This window comes from Homo sapiens, chromosome 12 (genome assembly GCF_000001405.40).
Source record: "Homo sapiens chromosome 12, GRCh38.p14 Primary Assembly".
Lineage (NCBI taxonomy): Eukaryota > Metazoa > Chordata > Mammalia > Primates > Hominidae > Homo > Homo sapiens.
In genome coordinates this window covers 94,970,842-94,995,160 of record NC_000012.12, presented here as the reverse complement: position 1 = coordinate 94,995,160, position 24,319 = coordinate 94,970,842, and the positions used below count along the sequence as shown (strand labels likewise).

General features: G+C 41.1%; 1 protein-coding gene across 2 annotated transcripts in view, besides 1 other annotated feature; it reads left to right on the top strand.

Annotated features, from left to right (window-relative positions):
• NDUFA12 (NADH:ubiquinone oxidoreductase subunit A12) overlaps positions 1-23,828 on the top strand; it is a 32,365-nt gene extending 8,537 nt beyond the window's left edge. The window contains exons 3-4 of one of the 2 annotated variants that reach the window (NM_018838.5): positions 904-991; positions 23,541-23,828. In NM_018838.5, coding sequence (NP_061326.1) covers positions 904-991; positions 23,541-23,721 — 269 coding nt within the window. In that variant the 3' untranslated portion in view covers positions 23,722-23,828. The remainder of the gene's footprint in view (positions 1-903; positions 992-23,540) is intronic. The other variant, NM_001258338.2, reaches the window with a different exon arrangement.
• Positions 5,289-5,800: an enhancer, noted in NCBI's record as "NANOG hESC enhancer chr12:95383137-95383648 (GRCh37/hg19 assembly coordinates)". NCBI's record gives its function as "activates a minimal SCP1, AML or CMV promoter by ChIP-STARR-seq in naive H9 embryonic stem cells {active_cell/tissue: H9 hESC(naive)}" and the evidence as "EXISTENCE:reporter gene assay evidence [ECO:0000049][PMID:30033119]".

The window sequence follows — 24,319 nt, the reverse complement described above, 5'->3', positions numbered from 1 at the left end:
GATTACCTTTTACTTATTGGTTTAAAGTCCATCATAGGAATGAATGGATTCAGTGTTCCCTATTGGCAGGTAAGAGCAGTAAGGAAGGGGTAGAAGGAATTAATACTTATTATGTGCTTATATGGCTGATGCTGAACTAGGTGAATGTATGTGATGTTTAATTTTCACAGCAACTCTAAGATGTAGGTATAGTCATCCACTTTTACTAGATAAAGAAACTGAGGCTCATAAAATTTGCCTAATAACCACTGATAATAAGTGACAAAGCCCAAGTCTTTGCTCAGTTTAAGGACCCAATTGTGTAAATAAGTAGTGGTTAGGCCCCTCAACTAGTGCACAGAAATTTCCTAAATGAGGAGTGCAGCCATATTATTTTGATGACATGAGCTGTCCTATGTACCTAACCATCATTTCTAATGTTTGCTTATTGTATATAATTCACAAATTTCCAAAAGGATCTAGGGTGGTTTTAAAAAAATACTTATGTGGAGACATAGAATTCAAGTATGATTGCTACAAATGTGTTTTTTCCCCAGTCTCAAGAGGAACACCTTCTTTTCTGAATACCCTGTACATCTGGGAACACACTTTCCTATCCTGTCTGCTACTCCCTCTGTGGGGAGCTGGCAGGGAAGCAAGGATTCTCCCCTGTGGGAAAGGCCTGAGCCCCACCCACAGCAGTGAATCATCTCAGTCCTTGCTGCGGGTTGCTGCTTAAAGTTTGCCACACACCTCCTGGAGCTTACCTTCACGAATTCACCCAGGGTGTTATTCCTCCAATAGCTCTCTTATATAAGATCACAAAAAGTCTTTTCTTAATAAAAAGGTTGTCTTCTTTGATATTATGCATCTATGCTTTAAAAAAAAAAGTTTTTCTTTTTAAATGTTCATCTTCCCACCCAGGCCGTCACCGATGGGTTGTATATACTACTGAAATGAATGGCAAAAACACATTCTGGGATGTGGATGGAAGCATGGTGCCTCCTGAATGGTAAGCTAAGACAACATTTTATTTGTCTTTCTTTTTTTTCTTTTTTGAGACAGGGTCTCACTCTGTCACCCAGGCTGGAGTGCAGTGACATGATCATGACTCATGTCAGCTTTGACCTCCCAGGCTCAAGTGATCCTCCCACATCAGCCTCCCTAGTAGCTGGGACTACAGGCCCATGCCATCTCACCCGGATAATTTTTGTTTTGTTTTTAAATTTGTTTGTTTGTTTCTTTTTTGAGACAGAGTCTCATTCTGTCGCCCAGGCTGGAGTGCAGTGGTACAAACTTGGCTCACTGCAACCTCCACCTCCTAGGTTCAAGCGATTCTCCTGTCTTAGCCTCCCGAGTAGCTGGGACTACAGGTGTGAGCCACCACGCCTGGCTAATTTTGTATTTTTAGTACAGACAGGTTTTCACTGTGTTGGCCAGGCTGGTCTCGAACTCCTGACCTCAGGTGATCCATCCACCTCGGCCTCCCAAAGTGCTGGGATTACAGGCATGAGCCACCGTGCCTGGCTTTTTTTTTTTTTTTTTTTTTTTTTTTTTGAGACAGAGTCTCACTCTGTTGCCCAAGCTAGAGTGCAGTGGCATGATCTTGGCTCACTGCAACCTCTGACTGCCAGGTTCAAGCAGTTCTCCTGCCTCAGCCTCCCGAGTAGCTGGGACTACAGGCTCATGCTACCACGCCTGGCTAATTTTTGTATTGTTAGTAGAGATGGGGTTTCACCGTTTTGGCCAGGCTGGTCTTGAACTCCTGACCTCAGGTGATCCACCCGCCTCGGCCTCTCAAAGTGCTGGGATTACAGGCATGAGCCACTGCACTCGGCCTAATTTTTGTATTTTTTATAGAAATGCGATTTCGCCATGTTGCCCAGGCTGGCCTCAAACTCCTAGGCTCAAGTGATCCACCCACCTCGGCCTCTCAAAGTGCTGGGATTATAGGCATGAGCCACCATGCCCAGCTTTTATTTATTTTTTTAGTTGAAATGGGATCTTGCTATGTTGCCCAGGCTGGAACTCCTGGGCTCAAGCAATCCTCTCACCTCACCCTTCCAAGTAGCTGAGATTATAAGCACGAGCCACCATGCCTGGTTCATTTTATTTTATTTAACTTGGCAATATTTATTTCATTACAAAAATATTTATTGAATATCTCTCTATAAAGCAGTCAGTGGTGTTCTTCTGAAAGTATCTGTCCTATTTACATTGAGTGCATAATAAGTTACCCTTAAATTTAGTGGCTTAAAACAACAACTGTTTCTCTCTCCATAGTTTTTTTTTGGGTCAGGAGTTCAGACAAGATAAAACGAGGGTGGCTAGTCTCTGCTCCTAGATGTCTGATGTCTGGAGCCTCAGCTGGAAGACTCCAAGTCTGGACACTGGAATCATCTGAAAACTTGTTCACTTAGTATCTGGCATTTATTGCTGGCTGTCAGCTGGGGGTATAGTTGGGCCTGTGGGTTGGAACACCTTCCTGTTGCCTGGGCTGACACAGGCAAGTGCTCTGAGAGAGTGAGCTAGGCAGGAACCATATTGCCTTATCTAACTTAGTCTTGCAAATTGTCCAGTGTCACTTTCATATTCCATTGATTGAGGCAATTAGAAAGCTCCACCCAAGTTCTACATGAGAAAACATGAACCTATCTCTTGATGGAGGCATGTCAACATCACAGTATATATTGGGATGTGTAATGGTGTGGCTGTCTTGGAAAAACAATATGCCATAGTATCACCTGTCTGGGTGAAGCGAAAGGTGAAAAGAACTTTGGCTGTAATCTTATCTGGCAGTTTGACTTTAAGCAAGTTCCTTAACCTCTCTGGGGGTTAGTCTCATTGTCTATAAAATGAGAGCCCTAAAATTCCTTAGGTCTCTAAAATTTGTATGACTTTATAATACGCATATTTTGAAATGAAATTCTAAATGCTCACTTGAATTACCAAATTTTGCATGACGTATTTCAAAGCAAAGTACTTATATCTGTTTCATAGATTGCTGAAATAATACCATACAGTTGATATACAATTAAACTCTGGAGCTCCTTTCCAGTGGTCTAGAAAATTTCACCCAAAAACTAGAAATAAGTATATCTGGTGGGCTGTGACATTTTATTTTAATTGAATTTGATCATCAGAGCTAGTTTTGGGCTGTCTTCAGTAGAAAGTGGGATAATCTCAGTGTATTTGCCTCTGTTCTAAAGAGTCACTTGGAAACCCAGATATGTGACATAAGTGAGTGAAGTGCAGCTATGAAACAATAGGACGTAGTGGAGACTGCAGTGAACTGAAAAGTACAGACTTGTCAAAGAGGGCAGCAGGCTTATTCAGCAACCTGCAGTTCCATCAGGTGAGAATTCTGCGAAGGGTTTCTGGATGATTTTTCAAAGGTGGACATCTGTATTTATTTGTGAGACTTCTTGTTTTTTCTTGCTTTTTTTTTTTTTTTTGAGATAGCGTCTCACTCTGTCGCCCAGGCTGGAGTGCAGTGGCACCATCTTGGCTCACTGCAACTTCCGCCTCCCAGGTTCAAGCAATTCTCCCGCCTCAGCCTCTCAAGTAGCTGGGACTACAGGTGCCTGCCACCGTACCTGGCTAATTTTTGTACTTTTACTACAGACAGGTTTCACCATGTTGGCCAGGTTGGTCTTGAACTCCTGGCCCCGAGTGATCCACCCACTTTGGCCTCGCAAAGTGTAGGGATTACAGGCATGAGCCACTGCACCGGGTCAGTTCTTTTTTTTTTCAATTAATTTTTAAAAATATTTGACATTTTAAATACAGCATTATCTAGCAGAACTTTTCACAATGACGGAAGTGTTCTTTATCTGCCCTGTCCAATAGGGTAACCACTTGCCACGTGTGGCCCAGAACATTTTATTATTATTAATATTATTATTATTTTGAGACGGGGACACTCTGTTGCCCAGGCTGGAGAGCAATGGCACAATCAGTCTCGACTTCCTGGGCTCAAGTGATCCTCCTGCCTCAGCCCCCTGAGTAGCTGGGACTACAGGCATGTGGCACCATGCCCAGCTAATTTTTTTGTATTTTTAGTACAGATGAGGTTTCGCCATGTTGCCCAGGCTGGTCTCAAACTCCTGGACTCAAATGATTCGCCAACCTCTGCCTCCCAAAATACTGGGATTAGAGGCATGAGCCACCACACCTGGCCTTTCTAGAGCACTTTAAAATGTGGATAATGCAACTGAGGACATTTTAAAATTTTTATTTAAGATAAGTAGGCTACTCGATTGGACAGAATAGTTTGTTTGTTTTTCAAATACTGTGAGCTAAGCAAAACATATTTGTACTGTACATTTTTGCTGAGCTATAACCAGATTTCAACCCCTGTTCTACTACTTGGACTAATTGTGAGCACTGACTGTGTCAGTGATGTAATTTGAAGAATATGATAATGGATAATATCTTTAAAAGCTCACTGGGGCTTGGTGTGGTGGCTCATACCTGTAGTCCCAGCACTTTGGAAGGCTGAGGCATGAGGCTCGCTTGAGGCCAGAAGTTTGAGACCAGCCTGGGCAACATAACAAGGCCTCATCTCTATAAATAAAAAAAGTTTTAGAAAATTAGCCAGGCATGGTTGTACATGCCTGTAGTTCCAGCTACTTGGGAGGCTGAGGTGGGAGGATCCCTTCAGCCCAGGGGTTTGAGGTTGCAAGGAGGTATGATTGCACCACTGTACTCCAGCGTGGGTGACAGAGTGAAACCCTGTCTCTGAATAAAAAAAGCTCTTTGGTTCTTACCGTGAGAAAGCAGCACTGATTAGGAGCTTTCTCATGCTACATCATTTGGGGATTGCTGTTGCACTCTTTTTAGTGGGAAATAACAACCTGTGGTTCCGTTAAGGTCTGAGGAGCTGTGGGGTTTTTTTGTTTTTTTTTTTTCCACATTCTATGTCTCTTTATTTTTTTCCTTCAACTTTTATTCTAAGCTCCAGGGTACATGTGCAGGATGTGCAGGTTGACATAGGTAAACATGTGCCATGATGGTTTGCTGCACAGATCATCCTATCACCTAGGTATTAAGCCCAGCATGCATTGAGCTTTGGTTTTAGGTTTAGAACCATCAACCTTCTCCAAAGGGGCATTCTATATGTTAGGAGGACTATTTGAGACCAAGGTGTCAACATGGAATTCAGGCTTTAGGAGCTGAGGTGTCCTGGTTTTTGTTTAACTGAGAGATTGTTTCTTGGGTGGAATTGGTCCTGGGAGGCTATAGAAGGCATGTGAGCTGTCTTATTCAGATTGACATCTACCTGCTTCAAAATGTTCATCTAACATTGGTGCTCAGGGGCCACATTTTGGGAGATGAGGGGTAGGGGTGTGATTTCAATTATGTGCGATTAATTATGTTTAAAATTATAAAATAGTAAAAACCTGAAAAGCTAAAAGTTCTATTCAGTGGAGCAAGTCCTTTTATTTGATCTGAGACCACATGAAAATGAAGCTAAGAGCTGTAGAAGATCACTCCAGCAGGTGCCTAAGGGCAAGTGAGGATTCAAAGCTGCATTTCTTTGTGGAGAGGAGCCTCCTAAGGTCTGAGTACCTTTGATGACCCTTATTTGTATGGGAAGCTTCACGGCTTGTGATGAATCTTTTTAGGGAGAAATGGTGTTGAACAAGCTTAGCTGTTTGTTTCTCAAACCCCTCTTTGTTGACCGTGACACACTGTGGAATTCTAAATCTGTGGATTCTTACCTTTGATTCATGAATAAATTTGATGTTGGGTTGATATATCTCTAATTAGAGAGCTAGGTATTATCACGTGTAGAGAGTAATTGTACAGATACAATTTATCATCCCTATTCAAATAACTATTTAGTACCTACCAGGTGCCAAGAACCTGGGGTAAAGCAGTGAATAAAACAAGGTCCTTGTTTTCATAGGGGAAGGCAGAAAAACATCCTTTATATAATTGTGGTAATGAAAAATGCAAGGAAGATAATATGAAGCTGGGCCTCATGGGAATCAAGAGCAATGGAAGGGTCAGGTGGCTGTTTTATACAGCAGTTAGAGAAAGCTTCTTTGAGAAAGTGACATTTGAGGAAAGACGTAGAAGCGGGGAGAAAGCGTTCCAGGCAGAGGGAACCACAGGTGCAAAGCCTGTATGTTTGAGATGTATTGCTTGGTCTGTTCAAAGAACAGCAGTATGGCCAGTTTGGCTGGAATGGAATGAGTGAGGGGAAGATGTTAAGAAACGAGGTAGGAGAAATAGCTAGGGCCCAAATCATGTAGATGTTGTAAGATGAAAGGTTCTTGTATCGGCTCGAACCCTGAGAGTGCATCAGCAGACAACATGGCAGTGTGGAGCAACACACTGTTTTAATGAGCGCCTGGGTGCAGGTGGGCTGATGCCTAAAATGGCGTTAGCACCAAATGAGGATGGGGCAGGGGTTTTATAGTCTCCTGTAAACAGGAAGTGTCTCAGTCTGATGTAACTGCTACATAGTACCTGGACGGCCTGCCCCTCAATCTTCAAGGGGGTATGTGTCTTTCGGCCAGCTCTCTTCCTGCTTCTGCTGTCTTGCTGACCCACGCTGCTGGCCCAAGCTTGGGACTGGGCCTGAGAAGGGAGGAGTTATTCATCTCTTCAAGCTTTCAGGCCTCAGGGAGAATCTTTCAGTAAGCCATGGTACATACTTCGGCTTTTTGTCTGAATTTATTTGGAAGTCACTGGAAGGTAAGATAGGGTGTGATCTGATTTACAGTTTTTTAACATTTGGAATAATCCCGAACTTTCAGAATCATTACTAATATTTTAATAAAAGTAAGTTGCCAAATTGATGCCCCATCACTCCTGAATACTTTAGTGTGTACGTCTTGCAAACAAGAACATTGTCCTACATAACCACAATATGACCATAAATATCAGGAAAGTAACAAAGATACACTATGAAAGGGAGGCAAAATTTTACCCTTATCCTCTTAGGGCTTTTTGGTTGGGCTTGAGAATTAAAGACATGTTAACAGGAGAAAAGCATACAAATTTATTTAATATAAGAGTTCCGTGATGTGGAGCCCTCATAAGGGATGAAGACCCAAAGATGCAGTTCATGTTGAACACTTAGATACTGAATTGGACAAGGAGTAGAACACTGAAAATGAGAAGACAAAGGGACTTGGGCTTGAGTAGGTTAATTGGGTGGAGAAGTGACTAAGAAGATAAAAGTTAATTTAACAACGTTTGTGCAGATTTCCCTTGACCTCAATTTCCTGTCCTTGATGTAGAATGATAGTTTCCTTCTGGTATAGGGAGGATATCTTTGATGTGGGAATTTTTTCTCCTGCTTTCAGAAAGAAAAAGGCCATATTATTCTTGTGCCTGCTGTTTTTCTTTACCTTTTTTTTTTTTTTTTTTTTTTTTTGAGACAATGTCCTGCCCTGTCACCCAGGCTGGAGTGCAGTGGTACAGTCTGCAGCCTCGACCTCCTGGGCTCAAATGATCCTCCTATCTCAGCCTCCCAAGTAGGTGGGATTACAGGCATGTGCCACTACACCTGGCGAATTTTTGTATTTTAAGTAGAGACGGGGTTTCATCATGTTGGCCAGGCTGGTCTTGAACTCCTGGCCTCAAGTGATCTGCCTACCTTGGCCTCCCAAAGTGCTGAGATTACAGGCATGAGCCACCACACCCAGCCGTGCCTGCTGTTGTTCAAGTGCCTTTAACTCAGCATAGTCCATATGCCAGAGCTGCATATTTTGGAGCAGCGTGTTCTGAACTTCAGCCACTCAGGTTTCGTCAGTTGTCCCAACAGTGTCCTTTATAGAGAGATCCAATCACACATTTCATATGGATCTCAAGTTCTTTAGTCTCCTTCACACTTGATTGGTTCCTCAACTTTTCTGTGATTTTCATGACCTTGACGCTTTTGAAAATTACTTGACAGTTATATTGTTGAAGGTCCCTCAGTGAGTTTGTTGAATGTTTCCTCATGACTAGGTTCAGGCTATGCTTCTGTGACATTCCTGTCACTGAAGCCATGTTTTTCTTGTTGCACTCTATTAAGTAGCAGCTGATTTGTTTTTGTCCTATTATTAATGAAAACCTCTATCACGTGATTAAGGGGTCTGCCGGTTTTCTCCATTCTAAAGTTACTAATTTTCCCTTTGAAATTAATTAGCATTTTGTGGGGAGACACTTTGAGGTTATGTAAGTATCCCCTTACTCATCAAAGCTTTAATTCATTATTTGTATCTGTATCAACTCCTATTTTAATCAATGGGTTATAATCCATTGCTTTAAATGGTTCTTTTATTGTTCAAATTGGGCTCAATTTGACTAGTTGGAACCCATTCAAGCTGCATTTGGAGTTCTTTGGAGGTTTTTAGAGGGGAGGGGTTCTCAGTTTTTAAAAATATTTTATTTGAGATAGGGTCTCACTCTGTCGCCCAGGCTGAGTGCACTGGTGCTTTCACAGCTCACTCCAGCCTCAACCTCCTGGGCTTAAGCCATCCTCCTGCCTCAGCCTCCCAAGTAGCTGGGACTACAGGGGTGCATCACCACAACCTGCTGGTTTTTTTTTAGGAGATAGGGGTCTCACAGTGTTGCCCAGGCTAAAATTTTATTTTTAATTGACAAATAATAATTGTATATATTTGTGGGGTACAATATGATGTTTTGATACATGTTTACATTGTGGAATGATTAAATCAAGCCAATTAGTAAATCAATTACCTCACATACTTATCATTTTTTTGTGGTAAAAACACTTAAAATTATTTTAGCAATTTCCAAATATACAGTGAATTATTATTTATTACAGTCACCATTCTGTGCAGTAGAGCACTAAAGCTTAGTCCTCCTAACTGAAATTTTGTACTCTTTTATCAACATCTCCTCTTTCTTATACTCTCCACTCCTCCTGCCCGTGGTAACCACCATTCTACTCTGCTTGTTTTTCTTTTTTTTTCTTTTGAAGACAGGGTCTTGTTCTGTCTCCCAGGCTGGAGTTCAGTGGCACATTAATAGCCCACTACAGCTTCAATATGCTGTGCTCAAGCGATCTTCCCAACTCAGCCTCCTGAGTAGCTGAGACTAGCTTATTTATTTATTTATTTATTTATTTATTTAGAGACAGAGTTATGCTCTTGTCGCCCAGACTGGGATGCAGTGACGTGATCCCAGCTCACCGCAACCTCTGCCTCCCGGGTTCAAGCGATTCTCCTGCCTCAGCCTCCTGAGTAGCTAGGATTACAGGTGCACACCACCATGCCCAGCTAACTTTTGTATTTTTAGTAGAGACGGGGTTTCACCATATTGGCCAGGCTGGTCTCAAATTCCTGACCTCAGGTGATCTGTCCACCTCGGCCTCCCAGAGTGCTGGGATTACAGGTGTGAGCCACTGTGCCTGGCCTATTTTTATTTTTAGTAGAAGTGAGCTCTTGCTATGTTGCACAGTCTGATCTGGTTTCCCTGATGATTAGTGACAATGAGCATTTTTTTCATATAGCTGTTGACCATTTGTATGTCTTCTGAGAAATGTCTGGGTACTTTGTCCCTGCCAACCGCTTTTTTTTTTTTTTTTTTTTTGAGATGGAGTCTTGTTCTGTCTCCCAGGCTGGAGTGCAGTGGCGTGATCTCAGCTCACTGCAAGCTCCACCTCCCAGGTTCACGTCATTCTCCTGCCTCAGCCTCCTGAGTAGCTGGGACTACAGGCGCTGACCACCATGCCCAGCTAAATTTTTTGTATTTTTTTAGTAGAGACGAGGTTTCACCATGTTAGCCAGGATTGTGTTGATCTCCTGACCTCGTGATCCACCCACCTCGGCCTCCCAACGTGCTGGGATTACAGGCGTGAGCCACTGCGCCCGGCCTACCAACCACTTTTTTTAAAGATAGGGTCTCGCTATGTTGCCCAGGCAAAAGTACAGTGGTGTGACCATGGCTTACTGCAGCCCTGACCTCCTGGGCTCAAGCAATCCTTCCACCTCAGCCTCCTAAGTAGCTGGAACTGCAGCCATGTGCCACCATGCCCGACTAATTTAAAAATTTTTTTTATAAAAACACAGTCTCCCTATGTTACCCAGGCAGGTCTGTAACTCCTGGCCTCAAATAATCCTCCCACCTTGGCCTATCAAAATGCTGGGATTACAGGCATGAGCCATCATGCCCAGCCACTTTGCTTTTATTTTATTTTATTTTATCTTATTTTATGTTATGTTATGTTAATTTTAATTTTTGAGATAGAGTCTCGCTCTGTTGCCAGGCTGGAGTGCAGTGGTGCGATCTTGACTCACTGCAACCTCTGCTTCCCAGGTTCAAGCAATTCTCCTGCCTCAGCCGCCCGAGTAGCTGGGATTACAGGCGTGCGCTGCCACGCCCAGCTAATTTTTGTATTTTTAATAGAGATGGGGTTTCACCATGTTGGCCAGGATGGTGAGTTTTTTTAATTCCATATATATATATTATATATATATGGGTTTTTTGTTGTTTTTTTTTTTTGGCTATTAGCATTAGAGGGGGTCATTTTGAAAAGTCTTCATCATTCTTGGAGCACCTTCTTACTTTCTGACATGAGGTGTTCCAGGTTCATCTTAGAGTTTCTCTGTTCCAGCCTTGGAGACAGCCATTTCTCTGAGGAGCCCTGTGTTTGTTTGCTTTTTTTTGTTGCTTTTTTGTTTCTTTGGAGACGGAGTTTCACTCTTACTGCCCAGGCTGGAGTGCAATGGCGCAATCTCAGCTCAACCGCAACCTCCGCCTCTGGGTTCAAGCGATTCTCCTGCGTCAGCTGGTCTTGAACTCCCAACCTCAGGTGATTCACCCACCTTGGCCTCCCAAAGTGCTGGGATTACAGGCATGAGCCACCACACCCGGCCGTTTGCTTGTTTTTTAGTGGAGAGTGGTATTAGAAACTAAGATATGAATGTCAGATGTGCTCATCATTATTGGAATGTCAGTGCTTCCAGGCCTTCTCAGTGGACAAGCTAGGAAACATGGGTAATGATTGTGTGTCCCCACCAGTACCACTGACGGCAGTCCAGCACTACAGTTTACACTCCAGTTTTCTCCCTTTCCACATTTATAGCTGGTTTCTTCTTAATATAGTTATTTGATCAATTCCACTGTGTGTAACTAAGTTCCCATTGCTGCCCTCTCATCCCCCCTCCCCCACTGGACTTCCTCCTTACCCTATTTTGCCTCCAGCACCCCAAACCAGCTTGCCACCCTCCCTTCTCCTTGTGTGGACAGGCTCTTCTCCCCACAAAGGCTCTGACACATCTTGCTGGGCTACCGCAACACCCTCCCTCACATACCAAGTGCTACATTCCTCGGGCCCACTTAATGACTTTTGCACTCTGATTTACATTTTTAAAGCATCTCTGTGGTTGCTGTGAAGAATAAAGGAAGGAGGCAAGGCAAGTGTGGAAGCAGGCTACTCACTTAAGAAGCTGTTGTAAGTCATGGCCTAGGCTGTTGATGGGGTTGGACTAGGGTGCTAGTGATGCAGGTTGTGAGATTTGGGATCGTATTAGTTGTCTATACTGTGGAACAAGTTATCCTAAACTTAGCTTAAGACAGTAAATGTTATCTCACAGCAATTTGAGTGTAGCTTAGCTGGGTGCCCCAGGCTCAGGGTCTCACAAGGTTACAGCTGAGATCTTCTCTGAGGCTGCTGTGCTCTCAAGGTTTGACTTGGGAAGGACCCACTGCCACACTTACTCATGTGGCTGTAGACAGACCTCAGAAGATTTGCTTCCCAGCTCATTCAGTAGACCTCTGCACAGGCCACCTCTTGACATGGCGTCTGGCTTCCCCAGACCAAGGTGGAAGGAACAGTCTTTTTAAACCTCATCTAGGAAGTGATATCCCATACTTCAGTTGTCTATTTATTAGAAGCAAGTCAATCAGTCCAGCCACACTTAAAATGAGGGTATTATACAAGGGTGTGAATACCAGGAGGCAGTGATCGTTGGAGGCCCTCTTAGAGGGTGCCAAGTAAGATGGGGTCAGCAGGAGTTGCTGATTGATTGGCTTTTGAGAGAAAAACCAGTCAAGGATGACTTCAATATTTTTGGCCTGAACTACTAGAGGTACAGTTACTGAGATAGGGAAGAGTGGAGTAGGGGGAGCAGGTTTAGAAGAGGTAGTCTACGTTAAGTATGAGAAGCTTGATAGACGACCACGTGAGAAGGTGAGTAGACAGTTGAAAACTAGCCTGTTGGTTAGGCTAGAGATTGATGCTGGAGATAGGATTTTGGTTTGATTTTATCTAGTGTAGTATTCAACTTAACTTTATAAATTAAGGGTTAGGAGAATATGACCTTCAGTTAAATGCCTAGCTCTGTTATCCTGGAAACCAGATAAAATTGTTTTAACAGTATTGCAATATAAAATCGACCTCTGATTGGGAAATTGCCTCTGGATTGAGAGGAATTAGAAATGCCTGGTGAGTGCTGCTGCTCTTAGAACTGGCATGACCCTGTGGGAAAGGGAATCCTGAAGCTATGCCTTTGGAGTTACTAGAGACGTTGGCTCTGGTGGAGCGTAAAGCTTTGAAGTTAGGGCAGCTCCTGCACCTGTCTCATGATGCTCTCATCTCCCTTGAGCCTGAGCTGTGTCATCTAGGGAGTTAAAGAAAATAGCTTCTGGGCCGGGCGTGGTGGCTCACACACAGCACCTTGGGAGGCCAAAGCAGGCAGATCATGAGGTCAGGTGATCGAGACCATCTTGGCTAACACAGTGAAACCCCGTCTCCACTTAAACTACAAAAAAAAATTAGCCGGGCCTAGTGGCGGTCGCCTGTAGTCCCAGCTACTTGGGAGGCTGAGGCAGGAGACTGGCATGAACCTGGGAAGCGGAGCTTGCAGTGAGCCGAGATCACACCACTGCACTCCAGCCTGGGCAACAGAGAGACTCTGTCTCAAAAAAAAAAAAAAAAAAGAAAAGAAAAAGAAAATAGCTTCTGGACGGCTGGGTGAGCTGTCACTTGCATGAACAACTGCACAGACTCCCAGGGAGAGGAACATCTGATGCTGCCCAGCTGGCAAGCTGTGATTCCTGTCCTCTGTCCTGAGTTCTCAGATGCCAAGTGTGGCCTATGATAGTCTTATGAGTCTGTTCAGTAGCTGCATAATCTCACCTAGGGAAAGATTTCCCTTAGAGACATTAGCGTTTTGGATAGAATTTTAGTCAGCTTCTCTGTTTCATTTAATGTTCTCTAATCTTATGGGAAACATTAGAAATCTTGTGGAAAAATGAGCTCATTTTATCTCTCTGGTCTAAAGGCCTTCACTTCTTTGAATCTACCAGCCACCAGTAAAGGCTGCTAAGTCCACCAGTACAAAAACAAAAGATGGTGGTGCAAACTTCTTGGATGGGCAGTTGAGCTACACGTGCCTTGAAAATAAGAAACGGATTGCCTAGAACCTAACACAGTCTGCTTACAAACTTGATTCATTCAACAAATATATATTGAGCACCCCCCTATATGTCAGGCCTTGATGGGTTTATATATTCACAGTGGTGAGTGAAATATGTATGGTCTTTGTTCTCTTGTAGTTTATAGGCACTTAATGAATACTAGTACTAATACTGTGTTCTAATTTAGTGTCTTTTTTTACAGTACCTTCATTTTCCTATATGTTTTATTCTCTTATGGGATCAGCAACAAGATATTAATTTCTTCTTCAGGAATTTATATTTAATTTGATTGAGTAGAATACCCTGAAAGTATTTAAGTAGATAACAAATAACATTTTATTTTATTTTGAGGCAGTGTCTCGCTCTATCACCCAGGCTGGAGTTCAGTGGTGCGATCTTGGCTTACTGCAGCCTCGACCTCCTGGGCTCAAGCCATCCTCCTGCCTCAGCACCCGGAGTAGCTGGGGCTACAGGCACGGGCCACCATGCCCGGCTACTGTTTGTATGTATGTATGTATGTATGTATTTAGTAGAGACAGTGTTTTGCCATGTTGCCCAGGCTGGTCTCAAACTCCTGGGCTCAAGCTATCCACCTGCCTTGGCCTCCCAAAGTGTTGACATTACAGGTGTGAACTACCGTGCCCAGCTCAAGTACTATTCTATACTACTTTTTCTTTCTTTTTTTTTCTCTTGTTCTTGTCTTTATTTTGTTCAATGCCAATTTTATTGCCTTCAGTTTTATTCTGAAGTTATCTAATTGCCACCGTCTACACAGTAACACACAGAAGTCTTCATTTTCATTGTTATGGTAGTTAGCATTTATATAGAATTAGTGTAGAAAAGTAGAAAGTTTGGGCTATTTCATGCACGGCTGTATAAAATTATTGTTTTCACTTGTATCAGAAGAAATAAAGATGTGCTTTTTGTGGTTTGAAGTATTGGAACCTTGAAGTCCTTTGAACCAAGTTAAAAAAAAAAACAAAGCAAGACATGGCTTGGTTAGATTTTTCTCTATTGCACGTATACCGTTTTCCCACTTGGTGGCACTTTCTGTTCATTTCTTAGTAACATGTCTTTCTCTCTCAGCATAGTTACACCAGTCTCTCCTCGTACATTGATTTTTCTTATTAAAATTAATTTACTGAAGTAATACATAAATACATCATTTAAAAAATAATAGTGTATGGTAAAGGGTTTCTTTTTTTTTTTAACAGAAAATAATTTTGTCCCTGAAAATTTTTCTGTGCCCAGGGAAAAATTAATAAATGGTTTTGCCCTTGAAAGGCCAATTTGTTTAAGATGCTTAACATCGTGGTGGTCAGCTGTTTTTCATTTGGCGTGATGTGTTCTAGAAGCCTTTGTAGAGAAACAGGGTGGCAGGTGAGGGCCATTACATGGAGGCGATAGAGAAGAATCAAGGATGATTCATAGGTTTGGGGCCTGAGTGGTTGGTACCATAATGCTGGGACCATTCACTGAGATGAGAAGACTTGTAGAAGGGCGGGTTGGTAGGGGTGGAGAATTAGAATCAGAAGCCTCTTTTTGGACATAGTAAGTGTGTGATACCTGTTGTGAAATCTACATGATTAGATATATATCAAGTAAACAGCTGAATATACAAATCGAGCTTAGGACAATGGTCAAACCTGCCAAACCAGCAAAGAACAAGGTAAGTAGCTAGCAAGGTAGGAGGAAAGGGAAGAAAGAGGAGTATTTCAGCCAGGGAAGCCTCGTTGTATTGATTGTTGCCAAGAGGTTGAGGAAGATGATGACAGAAAAATGTCCGTGTGATTTGGCAATATGAAATTCATTGAATCTACATAGAATCTGTTCTTGAAAGAAATGAGGAGAGATCAGAAAAGTTTGAACATTCTAGCAAAGGAGAGTGATCCACATAGCCCCTAGTAGACATGCACTGTCAATATTGGACATAGTTCCATTAATCCTTTTTTTTTTTTTTGAGACAGGGTCTTGCTCTTGTCACCCAGGCTGGAGTGCAGTGGCATGATCTCAGCTCACTGCATCCTCCACCTCCCAGGTTCAAGCAATTCTTGTGCCTCTGCCACCTGGGTAGCTGGGATTACAGGTCCCATGACCACACCCAGCTAATTTTTGTATTTTTTTTTTTATAGGGGTGGGGTTTCTCCATGTTAGCCAGGCTGGTCTCAAACTCCTGGCCTCATGTGATCCGCCTGCCTCAGCCTTCCAAAGTGCTGGGATTACAGGTGTAAGCCACCTCACCCCGTCCCTTTTTAATCCTTTCTGTGTAGTTGTGTTCATAACCATACTCCATTTTACTTGCTTTTTTCCATCAATATTATAAGCAATTTTTCATGTTATTAAAACAATCCTTATAATCACCATTAAAAGATTTTTTCTGATTATAAGAATATACAATTGCTATAGAAAATTTGGAAATCTGGAGAATTATTAATATGAGGTAGAAACAATTCTTTGGCCCAGAAGCAATACTGTTAATATTTTATTCACTGATTCAACAACTATTTGAGGGTCTGCTTTTGGGTAGAGAAAGAATGTTTTGGGGGTGTTTGTTTTAGAGGTGGGGTCTTGCTCTGTTGCCGAGGATGGAGTACAGGAGCTATTCACAGGTGCAATCATAGCACACTACAGCCTTGAACTCCTGGGCTCAAGCATCCCCCCTGCCTCAGCCTCCCATGTAGCTGGGACTCCACAGAGGAATGTTTTTTAAAGACCACAGTGTGAAAAACTGATTGTAGTTTATTGGTCACACCTTCTTTAGAAGAAAGCTTATTATTATAAATAACATATACCTACACATTTCTCATATAATGTATACAACATTTTCTGACTTGCTTCTCCCTCCCCTCACTTAATATGTCACAGACATTTTTCCTGTCTCACTAAATACTGTGTCAGTTCGAGTGTTTTAGTTTCTGTGGGGCTTTTGTATTTAGAAAGGATTGTTGGGCAATTTGGATTTAAAATTAATATACTATTTATTATAGTTGCAAATTTAAAAACCTAATTGTTTTTCATTCTTGAGGTTCAATTTATAAATAGGATAAAAAGATTAGTAAATTGAATTACTTTTTGCATAAAAATAAGGAACAATCATTTTCTCTTGTTCTTTGATGAATGTTCGGTAAACTCTAATGGAAAGGATTACATTGTCCTAAACAGTAATACCCATTTGCAAATTTAGTTAATACATCTCTTTAAGCAGTTTAGTCACATTTATAAATTGAACATATTTGATATTTGAGTTTTTTCAATTCTTCAAATCCCCAGTGCATAGGCAGATTAACCTATCAAGCAAAATGTTCCTAAGCACTTAAATGACTCTTGTTTACTCAAGCCCAAAACTTCAGTGTCATCCCCCAGTCTAATTCTCTAATGTCCAGTCTGTTAGCAAGTTCATCCTGCTTTCGTTTCTCCATATATCCCACATCTCATCACTGCCTCTATGACTGTTACCCTAGTCCAAGGCACAATTATCTCTTGCCTGGACATCTACAGTCACCTCCCAACTGGTTTGATAACATTCTTGCAGTGCACTAGCGTTCCCAACATGCTAAGTGATGAGAGTGCATATTTTTAAATGTAAATCAGACACATCAAGTCTCTGCTCAGAATGACCCAGTGGCTTCCCATCACAGTGAGAGTAAAAACCCCAACTCCTTCCATGCTCTGCGAGGCGTTATGTGATCACAGTCTGCATGCACTGTCCTAGTCACAGCCCTGTTGACTCTGACTTGGCCACATTGGCCTTCTTGCTTTTCCTTGAACAGTGAACATACTCCCAACTCAGTCTCTGCACTAGCTGTTTCCCCAGATTTGGCATGGCTCACACACCTTCACTTTATTCAAGTGCCCATCTGGTGGCTCTTCAGGTGGTCTAGTCTATAAGAGCCCTGTTCCCTCTCATACTCCATACTCTTCCCCTGCTCTGGTTTTTTCCTTGATGGCACTTAACTACCTCTGCTTAACATTTTTTTTATATTATTTAATTTATTGTATGTTTCCCCAAATACCATGTTGGAACAGTGCCTACCACATAGTATTTCTGCAATAGATTTTTGTTGAATGAATGGATGTACATATACATTTTACTTGAAACAAACATTATTTTTTGGGTATGATAATCAGTTTTCTTCACTTTAGCTGATCCAAAAATGGCATCTTCTGCTACTCCTTTATAGCTTTCTAATGAATTTGAAACTAGATTTACCTCTGAATTACATTGCAATTTCAACCTGTCCTTTTTAGTACTTTGACCCACTGAATCATTTGTTACAGTTTTGTGGGGTTTTTGGGGCAGGGGCGGAGGGGTGTTTTTTTTTTTTGACACAAGGTCTTGCTCTGTCACCTAGGCCAAGTGTAGTGCCGTGATCATAACTCACTGCAACCTCAAAATCCTGGGCTCAAGCTATCCTTCTGCCTCAGCTTCCTGAGTAGCTGGGAGTATAGGTGCATGCCACCACACCCAGCTAATGTTTTTGTTTTTGAGAGAGAAGGTGTCAAACTCCTGGCCTCAAGTGATCCTCCAACCTTGGCCTCCCAAAGCACTGGGATTATATGTGACAGCCACTGTGCCTAGCCTGTTACAGTCTTCTAAAATATTATTTCTCTAAATAAATTGCTAGCTGTCAATGGCAGATAATATTTTCTTCAAAGTAAGTCCTTCCTAATGTTTATTTTCTGCTCCAGAAAAATCAGAATATTAGGAGACTGTGTTCTAAGAAACTACAAACTGCATTAATTGGGTAGTTTCTCTTATGTTACAGAATGTTACTTTTCTTTATACCCTTTCTCTGTTAAAATGTGTTCATTATAAGCAGAAGACAAGATTGTTTTGATTTTTAAAACTCAGCTTTTATTTAACACATTTCACTGAGTATTCATTGCTTCATTTAATATTGATTCTAACATTTTACAAAGATGCCTTGTTGGAAAATTCCATATGTGGAATGTGGAAATAAACTATGTATTACTCTTGGTGAATGAGGAACTGCTCAGCATGTTCATTATAGAAAATTCAAAAAATAACAAAAGAAATAAGAATAGCCTGTTATCCCACCACTTGTAGAAACCACTGCTATTAATATTTTGATACACATTTGACCTTCAGTATCTGTGGGTTCTGCATCCATGGATTAAACCAACATTAGATGGAAATTATATCAGAAAAAAGTTCACAAAGTTCCAAAAAGCAAAACTTGGATTTGCTGTGTGCCGAGTATTATGTTGAATCCACATGAATGAAGTCATATGCAGACATCATATTAGGCATTATAAGTAACCTGGAGATGATTTAAAGTATACAGGAGGTTGTGCATAAATTATATGCAAATGCTACATTTGCATATCCACAAATGATCATTTGTGGATTTTGGCATCCACAGGGTGTCCTGGAATCAATCCCCCATAGACACTAGGGACAACTGTTTATTCTTATCTCCTCGATTTCTATGCATATATATTCTTTTGTTTTTGTTATTAATGTAATTGAGCTTTTTGAAGAAGTAGCCTGGGTTTGCAAGTTATTTTAACTTTTGGCAGCCTGGTTTTCTCACTTACTATATTTGGATAATAATATTTATCACGAGTTGTTATAAGGATCAAATAGGTTAATATTTGTAAAGTGTATAGATTAGTGCCCATGACTTATAAATGCTATCTATAAGTATTAAATAAATTAGGCAAATAACCCGCTTTTAAAACATATATGGTGAACATTTTCTCAAGTCATAAAATATTCTCTGTCTCTCTCTCTCTTCTCTTTTTTTAGAAATGGGATCCCCCGCTGTCCAGGCACGATCATGGCTTTCTGCAGCCTTGAACTCCTGGGCTCATGTGATCCCTGCCTCAGCCTCCCAAGTAGCTAGGACTACAGGTGCCTGCCACCATGCCTGGCTAATTTTTGCATTTTTTGTAGACATGGGGTCTCATGTTGCCCAGGCTGGTCTCGAACTCATGGCCTCAAGCGATCCTCCCACCTTGGCCTCCAGAAGTGCTAGGATTACAGGTGTGAGGCACCATACCTGGCCAAAATATTATCTATAGCATAAATGTTAATAATGCCTTAGTCTTCCATCATATGGATATGCCATGAGCTATTCCCTTTATTTTTGGTTTTGTTCTTTCCATTCTTTCACTGTTATAAATAAAGCTCTGATAAATATCCTTGTACATGAGTATTCATATCCTCATTTCCTTAAATGGAAATGGATCCACCAGGAGTATACATGTTTTATAAGTTTTTGATACCTGCTGCCAAATTGCCCTCTAGAAGGGCTATACCAATTTATATTCTCAGGATAAATATATTGAATAGTATATGAGTACTGATTTCTCTTTAAGTTCACTGATTCTGGGTTTTATTTTTTAAAATCTTTGCTAATTTAGCAAGTAAAAAATTATACCTTAATGTGCATTGCCTTGATTAAACTTCATTGTTTGCCACTATAATTTTTTCTTTGTTGACATCTCTTGATGTTTTTTGTCCAGTTTTCTATTGGATATTTGACTTTTTCTGATTTGTAATGATAGATGAACCTTTTTTCTGTATATTACAAATATTTTCCCCTGTTTCTTTTAGTCTTTAATCCTGTTTATAGTGTTTTAGGACATACACTTTTCAATTTTAAAAACAATTTTAATTTTTTGGGTACATAGTAGGTGTATATATTATGGGGTGAGATGTTTTGACACAGGCATGCAATATGTGATCATCACATCATGGAAAATGGGGTACCCATCCCTTCAAGCATTTGTCCTTTGTGTTACAAACAATCCAATTATACTCTTTTAGTTGTTTTAAAATGTACAATTAAGTTATTATAGACTATAGTCACTGTGTTGTGCTGTCAAATACTAGGTCTTATTCATTCTTTCTGACTATTTTTTTTTATACCCATTAACCATCCCCACCTCCCCCTAATCCCCAAACCAACCCCACTACCCTTCCCAGCCTCTGGTAATCATTCTTCTACTCTCTATCTCCATGAGTGCAATTGTTTTGAGTTTTAAGTATCACAAATAAATGAGAACATGCAATGTTTGTCTTTCTGTACCTGGCTTATTTCACTTAACGTAATGATCTCCAGTTCCATCCATGTTGTTACTAATGACAGGATGTTGTTCTTTTTTATGGCTGAATAGTACCCCATTGTATTTAAGTATCACATTTTCTTTACTCATTCATCTGTTGACAGACACTTAGGTTGCTTCCAAATTTTGGCTGTTGTGAACAATGCTGCAACAAACATCGGAGTGCAAAAGTCTCTTCGATATACTGATTTCCTTTCATTTAGGTTATACCCAGCAGCATCATTGCTGAATCATATGGTAGCTCAATTTTTAGTTTTTTGAGGAACTTCCTAACTGTTCTCTATAATGGTTGTACTAACTTACATTCCCACCAACGTGTTTGAGGGTTCCCTTTTCTCCGTATCCTCCCAGCATTTATTATTGCCTGTCTTTTGTATAAAAGCCATTTTAACTGGGATGAGATAATATCTCATTGTAGGTTTTTTTTACTGCTCCTTGTGGACCAGAGCGGTAGCCTTAATCTCAGCACTTTGGGAGGCCGAGGCGGGCAAATCACTGGAGGCCAGGAGTTCGAGACCAGCCTGGACAACATGGTGAAACCCCGTCTCTACTAAAAATAAAAAAATTAGCCCGGCATGATGGCATGCGCCTGTAATCCCAGCTACTCGGGAGGCTGAGGCAGGAGAATCACTTGAGCCCAGGAGGCAGAGGTTGCAGTGAGCCAAGATATCACCACTGCACTCCAGCCTGCGCCACAGAGCAAGACTCTGTCTCAAAAAAAAAAAAAAAAAAAAAGACCCAAGAGTCTGTTTTGCAAGTAAAACTCTCTGGTGTGGCAATCTGAAAGATATGATTTTTTTTTACCCCTTATTTAATAATAAAATAACAAGGGTTATATTTGCCTAGCAGACTATAAACATTTCCTTATTTCTTATAATTCTTTATAAACTGCCATAATGGGTATAGTTTATTATTTATTAATTCCCTGATTCTTGCATGTAGGCTTGCTAGGATAAATATTTTCAGATTTTGTGTATTGTGATAAAAATTATCTTTTCCTTTTTTGGAGCATTTTCCATTTCTCCATGAGCTCTTCACTTCCTCACTTAAGTAACTGAATAGGCATAAGCTTGGGACTATGGTTCCTTAAATATCATTTTAACCTTCCGGAGTCTTGACAGCAATTTTTTGAATAAAATTTTTCTTTAGTTAAGCTGACTCAGTGAGGTAAAAGTTAAATATTTCAGCTGTGCCGTAAGCTCACATAAAGCCCCTTGATAAGTGACAGCCTTGACTTTAACAGCTAATCCCTCCTCTGAGTGGTTAGTGGAGCCTGGCTCACCACTATCGTCTCATAAGGGCTTCAGCGCTCGTGTGCTCATATGAATGGTTACAGTTTATTGGTCCAGGTCACTTTCACTAATCCCCAGCTTCCTTTAGAGGATGTAAGACAGACACTGACCTAGCTTGTACAGCCTTCTGCATTCTTCATTGTATAAGCTGATCATGATACAATTATCTTTAGACATAAACATAGCAACTGTAATCATATTTTATCTCTATTCAGACTGGTTTTTAGTCAGTTACCTAGCTATATCTATCAATTACTGCTAGCAAATATTCTTAGGTTTACATAGCAACAAAAATTTTTTCTCATTAGCTTTAGTTTTAGTTATTCCACTGAAACATCCTCCTCTTGTCCTTTTCTCTGCAGCTAGATAATCACTTTTCCCCCCACCCCCGGGCTGCAGTTCTGTGGCTGTCTTCTCATTTTCTTTTCCCCCAATAAGGTCATCTCTGTCTTGTGAGCTCCAGGTCTTAGAGGCTGGGACAAATTCTGTCTTCCCTTCTTTCCCATGTAAACCCCTCAGCTTAGCTTCCTGCACTCTGTCCCACAAACTTTGATTCCTCCTTTCCCTGTCATTAGCAGCAGCATCGGTGGTCTCTTCCCTTTCAACTCCAGGTATCCAGCTTTTAGGTCTGATTTCTGGAACATATCCTCTTAAATTGTTAAGCACTTATGACTGAAATATTTGTGAATTGGGGGTCGATTTAACTTTTTTCTCAAGACAGGGTCTCACTATGTTGCCCAGGCTGGTCCTGAGCTTCTGGCCTCAAGTGATCCTCCCACCTCGTCCTCCCAAAGTGCTGGGATTATAGACATGAGCCACTGTGCCTGGCCCTGATTTAATTTTTTAATATAACAAGTTGCATATTCTCTAGTGTTTACACTCACATGCTTGAATTTACAATGCATCAGGCTCTTCTCAGCAGGAGCCTCATGGGTTTTAAACTAAACCTTCATGAGCCAGAGTAACCTGAGCATACTGAAAATCCAGAATCGGCCTCTAGCACCTAATAGTAATACTGTATTTTTATCAGTTCTAAAATGCATTTCCACGTCTAAAATTAGGATACATATTATAATCAGTAGTGGCCATAATTTATTTGGTAGCATCTTTTCTTTCTTAGAGGTAGATAAAATCATGGCATGTCTGAAAATGGATAGTGTCAGATTTGATAAGATACAGTAATGGGCCGGGCATGGTGGCTCATGCCTATAATCCCAGCACTTTGGGAGGCTGAAGCAGGAAGATCCCTTGAGCTCAGAAGTTTGAGATCAGCCTGGGCAGCATAGTGAGATCCTATCTCTACAAAAATCTTCTGAAAGTCAGCCAGGCATGGTGGTGGCATGCTCTTGTAGTGTTAGCTATGTAGGAGGCTGAGGTAGGAGTATCACATGAGCCCAGGAGTTCGAGGCTGCAATGAGCCATGATAGTGCTACTTCATTCCAGCCTGGGTGACAGAGTGAGACCCTGTCTCCAAAAGAAAGAAAGAAAGAAAACGAAGAAAAAAAAATACAGTAATGAGAACGGTAGCTAACATTTGTTGCGTATCTGCCACACACAAGAATTTTTCTATGTGCTTTATGTCTATTATCTCCTTTTATGTTTATACCATCCCTGAGGAGTAGGGATGTTCAGATGGAAAAAATCTAAGGCATAGAAGAATTCAGCTAGTAACTGATGGAGTTGAGGCTTGAACCCAAGCAACAAAATAGTTCCAGGGCTACGTTTTTAACCGTCCTTCCACTATGCTGTACTGCCTCTTCATAACTGTTTGGGTTTTTTCCCCTCTTTAAGGCATCGTTGGCTTCACAGTATGACTGATGATCCTCCAACAACAAAACCACTTACTGCTCGTAAATTCATTTGGACGAACCATAAATTCAACGTGACTGGCACCCCAGAACAATATGTACCTTATTCTACCACTAGAAAGAAGATTCAGGAGTGGATCCCACCTTCAACACCTTACAAGTAAAGACAATGAAGAACAGTTGAAACATGCAAAATATGGAGCTTTTCATGTAATTACTCTTTTACTGTTTACCATTCACTATAATTCACAATTAAAATTGTGTGACTAAACAATGTCTTTCGTGCCTTTTTGCCCTTCACTTTGTTGTTTTCCAACTGCAAAATAGATGCTTCCAAACATGGTGATTGAAGTAGACTTGTATTGGGGTAGCTGCCTGGTTTACAGTTCCCTTTTCTGGAAACAGCCTCTGTGGTCCTGTTTGTGCTTTGGGACCGTACCTTACTACCATAGCTCATTATATGGGAAGACCTAAGCCAAGCCAGATTTTCTCATGGGAATTTGGAACTTGAATGGAGAGACACGAAGGCTGAAAGTCATCAAAACTGGGTGGCTTTTATTGACGCTCTCTAAGGAGGTTATCAGAGATATCGTATTTCCTGAGTCTGGTTCTTTAATGGTTCATTTTAAACTGTAAACTATCCTAGACTCTATTCCAATATATTCTTAGTTCTTTAAGCTAACTAGGGTCACAGATTTTTTTTGTTGCTTACAAATAAAAAAGTCTTTAATATCCAGATTGGTACCAGAGGTAGGCAAAAGA